Below are 8,969 nucleotides of genomic sequence, written 5' to 3'. Positions count from 1 at the left end.
TCACCATGTCTGTCTTAGAAACAGGTTGGGGAGAAGCCTTTCAGTGAGCTGCAGAACTGCCGGGGTCACCAAAGAATTCTGCTTTCCTTACTTGTCAGTTTAAGTTACTGTAAAGAGATCAGCTCTTAAAAATGCATGACTTCATGGGGCAAAATGTGTCAAAAAAGGTTTAAAATAATACAATCCTAAGAACCACAGGGGGTGGGAGGTAACAGTAAAAAGAATTACTGGTATTTTCTTCTCCTATATCCTGTATTATAGCCAGTGCGACACATGTGAGATACAGTCATTTTCTCCAAATAAGTTTTGCCAAAATTACTGCATTTACTACTGTTACACTTATTAATTATCTCGATAGGTGTGGCTGGAGTGCCTATCTCTAAATGCCCCTGTGCTTTGCCATGGAGAATTCTTGCTCTCATCTTACGGTGAGGAAGATGCTGCTGAGTATCACTTCAGGAGGCTATGGTATAAAACTTTAGGAATAACCACAACAGAAATCAAATTCTTGGGGGAATAATATGCAAGTTTTAAAACAATCCTACTTTTTTTTTTCTTTAATTAAAAAGAAGCACACATGGAATATTGCATAAAGTATTTCCTAATTATGCTGTTACTTTTTCAGAGTTGTGTCAGAACACACTTTACTGGGATGCTCTGGATTACATGTAATTTTAAGGCAAATCATTATGAGGTAGGAAATATTTTTAGTTTTCTAATATATGATTGAGATACTGGGTATATTACATACCTAATCATGAGGAAAATAGCCTTGATTTGTATGCCAAGGAGTCCACTAGTTGAAGGATTAACTTTTTTTCTTCAAACATGCTAATTTAGTTTTGTACCTTCAAAGTCACATTCCACATCCTATACTGTATTCACTGATGATACCAAATTCGGCAAAAATATGTGTGTCAGTTTATGTAGACAAAGCTATCTTTCTTTATGCAAATTAAGTAAGTTGGTGTACAGTGGCACAATCTATGGCCTCAAAGGGTCTTTGGTATATCAGTGTGGGTTTTGTTCACAAACTGGTGCACTGCAAATTTGCAGGTGCAAATTTTGAAACCTCTTTCAAAAACATGGCACATCATTTCATTCCTAAAAAATGATTGGTATGCTAACCTAAGAATTTCATAGTGCAAATTATATTTCATTCTGAAAATTCATGAAGACCTAAATTTAAATAGATTGTCATCATTTTCTCAATCTAAAAGCACTGAAGAAACTAAATATATTTGAAGGTATTTTTCTGTGTAAATTCTGGCCCATCATATCTGCTGAGGCTAAGTAAACAGTTGGCAAGGAACTCCCTCTTGTGGTCAAACATTCTTAATTAGAAAAAGAGATTTTGTACTCAACTGATGTTCTGGATTATTAAAACATGGGTCACTTGTAACCATTAAGATTAACAGTACTGATATAAGTGCTTTTACTGAAGCAATTCATTGCAAATTAGGGCTGAATTCTGGAACATATGCTCTTAATTTTTCCTAAAACAGGGCTTTGCACTGCTGTTCAGGATAAAACCACTTTGATTACAATTTCTAAGATTTCTTATTTCTTTAAAAATATCATGGCACTCATTAACAATTATACACACACCAAAAAAACAGACACATCGAGTGTAAGACATTTATGAATTGAGTATTGTAAGAAGTGCAAATTCTCTTTATTTTGATCTCAGCACTTTATTTCTAATAGTCTCTAAAACTGTAGGACCGTTCAATATTTTTATAAGCAGTGAGAGAAAGAGTTCCCATATGCTGTTAACCAGTGCTCTCCCAGACTACATGTGGCAACAGATTCTACTGTCAGAGGTAATGCATGCCTGACACCCAATCAAAAATGTCCTAAATACTTATTATGAATGAGACAAATTACTAGACACATAATGAAACTGACAAATTATCATTTTTTTTTCTGATCATTTGACTTAAGCAGCACTTCCAACTACTTCCCAAGATTGGTAATAGACAGAAACTGTCTGCCATAGTACTGAATATGCAATTCATTTTCATGATAGCAAATTAAAACCTGATGCCAAGAATCCCAGGATTTGTCCTGACAGCACATCAAAGCTTGTGAAAAAGGCTGTGCTCTTAGATCAGGTCACTGCTGCCAGTTCAAATACTAACTGTACAATCTGAAAACTTCTTTTCTGGATGACTTTCAATATGAGCAAAGGAAAGATCTAAAGTTAGAGTCATTATTTAAGAAAAAAAAAGAGAGAGAGAGAGGTGCTGATTGTATAGGTTCTACAGTTTGTGCAAGCAATATCTACATGTGAGAGAGCTATTTCTGTATGTGTGCTGGTTCCAACATACCTTTGCCTGTCTAAAGTTAAACACTCAATTAATCATCACCCAAATGATGCACTTATGCTTCCTTTACATAAACTAGGTAAGAATACACATAGAAGGACAAAATTGTTTGTCTTTAAGTTTTTGTTCACATTTCCTAGCTGCTCTTATCATTAAGTTTTATTGACTCTTGGTGTATTCTGTCTTAATTGTTTTTCTTATCTTTTAAACATACAAAACTCAGTATGTTCACTATAGAAAAATCAGAAGTATACACATTTTTATATTGGAAATGTAATAAGCATTTGTGTTTCCCAATATATGAGTAAATTTGTAATCATTTTAGTAGCATTATTTCACAGACATTGACTCTTTTTCATGTTTGTTTTTTTTAGCAATCTCACTTTTAATAGCAAGCATACTCTTTATTACATGAGTGAATTGTTATGTATTTACTCAATCCATCATAGGTGGAAATGTTTAAAATCTTTTTAACTTTTCCAGTATTAATAGAAAGGGATATTTACTTAGTTATATCTTTATATGCATAGTTATTTAATAATTTAAACTAGTTTCAAATTAGTGAGTTATGCCAGATGAAAGGTGACAATATTTTGATTAATGTATTTTTACTTTTATTTAAAAATCATATATATTTTAGTATGTTTTAAATATATTTCATGGATTCATTTTCAATTAAATCAAATATGGAATGCATAAATATTATTAAAATAATATTTATGTAATATTTTTCCCCAAATAAAAATAGCTTTCTATCACCAGAAAATAATTAATTAAACTCTGAGCACAAACTCAGGTTCTTTGCAAAGGAAATAATGTTAATAATCAATAAATATATAATCCAGGCTATGAGCACCATTTATATTCCTTTACTCTATAATTTTACTCCACTCCATCATATTAATATTAAGACCCTATAATACTTTGGAAATTAAAAGAATGTCTTCAAAATACTGAGTTCCTTGCACACTTAGAAGAAATTTCGAGTAAATTAGCTTCTCTTAAAAGTAATTATTGGTTTGTAATATATTTTCCTGCAATATATTTTCCAGAATAATAATTTATGTCATGAGGGAAAAAAGAGTAGGGTAGTATCTATGTACAAAATTTATCTTTTTTAGCTCTCTTTATATGTATCTTTCTATTCCACGTTTAATCTAAGATTCCATTGATTGTAAAGTGTACAATTCATTTTGGTGCCATTAAGAAAAAAAAACCTCTACCAATTATAATTATATCATGGACTATAAGACAAGATTCTCTCTTAGAGAGGTTAAAAGTTTAGAATCAATGTCTTAGAATTAATGCACCATATAGTTAGAGGCATACAATATATAAAGAAATGTAAATAATTATCTAAAATTATAATTATATTTACCAATAAGAATATATAACTACAGGGATATACCGTAGAACTCTGGCCATGGTATTTACGATGGTACCATGTACATTTAAGACTGTATTTATGATTCTTTAAAAAAATTAATTTAATTAAACATTTTAATTTAACATGACAACATTTAACACCTTAACATATTTTTTTTCTGGAGTATACATTATGAATGTATGTTTTAGCCATCTGTAGGTAATAAACTATTATATAAAAAGTATATATAGGTAAAAAAATAACACATTTCTCTAGAGTAAATGCATTGTCTCTGCAAATATTTTGAAATGCTGGGTAAGGTTTTGTTCAAATACTGAATGAATATAGACAGTTTTCACATACCATTAATAAACTTAGAGTCATAAAAAAGTAGAAAATACATTTATATCTCTTTACTTTTATATGCATATAAGTATATCTGATGCTAAGTAATCTGGTTTTAGAGAATTACAAAATAGCTCTTGATAAAACAGTGACTCAACTAATTTTACGCAATATAAATTTTAAGGTAAATAAAATTTGCTAAGTCTAAGATGGCTGGCCTACATTGTCTCTTCTGTGCCTATGTCAGACACTGCTACCATGTTTCTTTAACTCTAAGATGTCATCAATCATGAGACACACCATTATTTTATGTTCAATTTAAAAACAGAAAAATACGGTTGCCAACTAGACTTTAACATGCCATTGAGTGCAAGACACACCCCAATTTCAGAGAGGGAAAATGATCTACTCTAGAATATATGGAACATTATAGTCAACCATGACACCTTTTTCTAGTAAGTTTGAATACAGTCTCAGAGAATTTTGCAATGCAACATTCTCTATAGACAGACCAATTGAGAGGTGAGAAATTGTGACATGGGAATCACTAAATGTTGAGAACTCCCTGTGACAGCAAAGGGAAATTTGAAATAGTCTAGTAAGGAAAGAGGTAGAGGTCCAGAATATTCAGTGCCTCTCTGATACTGTAGTTTTAATAAGTTCATTTACTGAAGGAATTTCCCCAAAACACATCTTTCTACTTTCATTTACCTATTGACAAGTGACTGGAATTGATACAGGAAGAAGGAAAGAAAAACCAGGAAGAGAGAGAAAGAAAAAAAGATTGCATTAACCAAGTCTTATGTTTTAGGGCTGATTCATAGGTATTTCATGTGTATTTTTTAATGTGACATTGCTCCATCTTTACAGATAGAAGGCCTGAGGCTTTGGTAAGTGAATAATCTCTCTAAATTAACACAGCCTTCAGGAGCAGTTGTTGGAATTAATATTGAAATCTGTCTGATTCCAAATCTTATGTCTTCTTCACTACCTTAAAACACCACTCTGAAATTTATTTGCAGAAAATTTTGTTTCACAAATCTATTCAGCAAATGAAGACATACCTGTACACAATCAAAACCAGAATTTCCTGATGTGGTCTAGATATTAGATTTATAATTTATTTTTTCTGGTATATTATGGTTATTTGCCTACTGTTTGACAACCTCCAGAAATACTTGCTACTAACATCTGATTACCACTCTAACTCCCAGTAATATTCTCACTTACTCTTCTTTACCTTTGGCTGTAGACTTCTGTATCTTGTCATTCATTTCAAGATGCTGGGGCTAGAGTTTCTCAAGTTCTTCTGTTATCTCCTTTGGTCTCATTCAACAATCACAAAAACTTAGAAAGATGGAACTGCTCCTGAATTGCTGGACTAGCCTATAATATAATTTTCAGTAAGACTATGTATTTTATTTGTTGTGTAATCATATCTTTTTAAAACAGAATATGACTTAGCCTAATTAATAAAATGTTTCATTTTAAAATTACTGAAATTCCTCAAACAAGGTCACTGCATGTCAAAGGAGAGATGATTTATGGTAAGAAAGTGAAATAAGATCAGTTAGCCACAATATTTTTGGAGGAAATTGACTGTACCTTTTAGCAAACTAACTTACTTGTTCATTCTAAGGAGACGTTTTGTTCTTTGTGGAACATGCTACTTCACTTTAAGGCATTCTCTGCGAAGAAGTTGTTCCCTCTGGTACCTGAAACTACTGCATAAACCTATAATGATTTTTTTTTTGTGGTCACCATAACTCTCTTGAGTGTATTACTCCAGTTTAAAGTGGCCCCTCAATTGTAAATGGTCAAATTGTTACATGGAACATTTATACATGGTACTTCTTGAAGCAAGAGTGAAATTGAGTGTTTTTGTGCCACACCAGGGACCCAACGTGTTCCAATAGATAAGCCACTGGCCTCAGGATGTAAAATCCTTCATACTTTCATTTTGCTCATATGTTTTGCCATCTATTTTGAGCCATAATAAGATTTTAAAATCTTGTTCATTTGAATTCAAAGACATTAAAAACACCAAAAGAAATAATTTTAGAAATTAGATATTTTACTTCAACTGAAATCAAGCAAGTACTTAAGCCACTTCTTTGGTGAAAAAAATTACTAAAAATATTGTATGTTTTTCAAGGAGAAGGGTGTCATGAGAACAAAAAAATAAAACTTTGTTTATTACAGTGGTGTTACTCTACTTCTAGGCTGTCTATGAATGGTTAAATGGTGGTCTCTAAGTTCTTGGCAAGATTTTAAAAACATTTCATGGAAAGTCAATATAAGATTACAAGTAAAATGTTCACATCCTTGCTTCTGACTGAAATTATATGACCTAACTATTTTGACACTATTTTTAAAGCCTTCAAAAATGTTACTGGTGATTATTTAATGTTTAATTTTAAAATAGAAAAATAGTTACAGCTATTGGTAGGGATTCTAAATTCATCAAGGAAAATAAAAGAGATAATTTACGCTAAAAATGTTTGAGCTTAGAAGATTTGTAATTCATCTTCTTTAATGTTAAGCTTCTAAACAAAGAAGACACTTTTAAGAATACAAAATTCCTTTGCAAAACATTGAGTATCAATAATTTCATGATTTAAAGAACTACTTATATAATTGTCATTTTAATGTATAAATATTAAAATTTTCCCAGTCACAAAATACAAAACATACGTTCTTCCTTGTTATCCTGCTTTCTTTAATGAATATAGTTTCTTCCCCTTGAACATTTTATAGTGAATGGGTATAATATTAACTGGCAATTGATTCAAGTGACCCTCATGTACTACTAGATGTGAAATGATGGAACAAGTTTCTCCGTTACTGTTACCATTTGGGATAAAGAAATGGAGAGACAGCTTCCATGAAAACATGAAAATGCCAGGAGCAATTCTTAAGTCATTCTCATCTAGCACCCTAATAAGAAAGTGGTTCTTCCCATCTAAGAGAGTAAATTCTGATTCTCTCCATTGCTACAGCCTGAGAGTATGCAGTGTAACCGAGAGAGGACACAGTGGCCAAGATCTGTGAGCCAAACCAAACCAATCCTGTATTAATAAAAAATAAATTATGATTTTTTTAGATGGGAGAACTACCAGTCACCAGGTAACATAAAAACCCTAGTTAAAGATCTCTTTCAGCAATTGTCATTTATATATTCCTGGGCTGGATGCAACTCACCAGAGTTTTATTTTTAAAAATGATTCCTAGTTAGAAGGTAAAAAATGTAACCAACATTCCATTCAAAAAGTTGGTTTACTTTTATTTTGTTTTTCTACTTTACTGATGAGATATAAGAGAGCCAGAGAAAGATCACTTGAATATAAATTTAAAGATAAGAATTTTACATATTGTTTAGACCACAGAATTCAGAGACAGATTATGTAGGTTCAAGTCTCTCATTCACCAATGGCCAGTGATGTAACTTTAGATAAATTACTTAAGTCAGTTGAATCAATATTCATATATGTAAATTGAGGATAATACTACAAGTGAATGTAATACATGTTAACAATAGTGCAAATATTTTGTTAGTAAAATGATGTAGCTTTGAGCCTCAATTTTTTCATAAATAAATAGGAATTGGAACAAATAATCTCCATTTGTCAACTCCATTTCAGATATTTTATATTAATTTTTAATAGTAAAAATATTATAAAAATCATTTTCCATGCCCTCTCCAAGATAGATGACACTAATGGGAAAATACATAATTTTGCCCTAGCATGATGTTAACTTTGGTGTAATGGCCCTTCCTATACATAAATAAGGTCTTTATTAAGTTTAAGAGCATATAAACAACAAATCTGGGAATCAATTATTACCTTCTGTGTAAGAAGGTATGAAATATAGGGAAATGGGGGGAGGAGCCAAGATGGCCGAATAGCAACAGCTCCGGTCTACAGCTCCCAGCGTGAGCGACGCAGAAGACGGGTGATTTCTGCATTTCCATCTGAGGTACCAGGTTCATCTCACTAGGGAGTGCCAGACAGTGGGCGCAGGTCAGTGGGTGTGCGCACCGTGCGCGAGCTGAAGCAGGGCGAGGCATTGCCTCACTTGGGAAGTGCAAGGGGTCAGGGAGTTCCCTTTCTGAGTCAAAGAAAGGGGTGATGGACGCACCTGGAAAATCGGGACACTCCCACCCGAGTACTGCGCTTTTCCGACGGGCTTAAAACATGGCACACCACGAGATTATATCCCGCACCTGGCTTGGAGGGTCCTACGCCCACGGAGTCTCACTGATTGCTAGCACAGCAGTCTGAGATCAAACTGCAAGGCGGCAGCAAGGCTGGCGGAGGGGCGCCCGCCATTGCCCAGGCTTGATTAGGTAAACAAAGCAGCCTGGAAGCTCGAACTGGGTGGAGCCCACTACAGCTCAAGGAGGCCTGCCTGCCTCTGTAGGCTCCACCTCTGGGGGCAGGGCACAGACAAACAAAAAGACAGCAGTAACCTCTGCAGACTTAAATGTCCCTGTCTGACAGCTTTGAAAAGAGCAGTGGTTCTCCCACCACGCAGCTGGAGATCTGAGAACGGGCAGACTGACTCCTCAAGTGCCTGACCCCCAAGCAGCCTAACTGGGAGACACCCCCCAGGAGGGGCATACTAACACCTCACACAGCAGGGTACTCCAACAGACCTGCAGCTGAGGGTCCTCTCTGTTAGAAGGAAAACTAACAAACAGAAAGGACATCCACACCAAAAACCCATCTGTACATCACCATCATCAAAGACCAAAAGTAGATGAAACCACAAAGATGGGGAAAAAACAGAACAGAAAAACTGGAAACTCTAAAAAGCAGAGCGCCTCTCCTCCTCCAAAGGAACACACTTCCTCACCAGCAACGGAACAAAGCTGGATGGAGAATGACTTTGATGAGCTGAGAGAAGAAGGCTTCAGACGATCAAATTAC

General features: G+C 34.0%; 2 annotated features.

The window, feature by feature from the left end:
* Nucleotides 7,725–8,234: an enhancer, noted in NCBI's record as "H3K27ac-H3K4me1 hESC enhancer chr5:91598487-91598996 (GRCh37/hg19 assembly coordinates)". NCBI's record gives its function as "activates a minimal SCP1, AML or CMV promoter by ChIP-STARR-seq in primed H9 embryonic stem cells {active_cell/tissue: H9 hESC(primed)}" and the evidence as "EXISTENCE:reporter gene assay evidence [ECO:0000049][PMID:30033119]".
* Nucleotides 8,235–8,746: an enhancer, noted in NCBI's record as "H3K27ac-H3K4me1 hESC enhancer chr5:91597975-91598486 (GRCh37/hg19 assembly coordinates)". NCBI's record gives its function as "activates a minimal SCP1, AML or CMV promoter by ChIP-STARR-seq in primed H9 embryonic stem cells {active_cell/tissue: H9 hESC(primed)}" and the evidence as "EXISTENCE:reporter gene assay evidence [ECO:0000049][PMID:30033119]".

Source organism: Homo sapiens, chromosome 5 (assembly GCF_000001405.40).
Source record: "Homo sapiens chromosome 5, GRCh38.p14 Primary Assembly".
Lineage (NCBI taxonomy): Eukaryota > Metazoa > Chordata > Mammalia > Primates > Hominidae > Homo > Homo sapiens.
The sequence above is the reverse complement of the archived record's forward strand: the minus strand, read 5'-3'. Positions and strand labels throughout refer to the sequence as shown.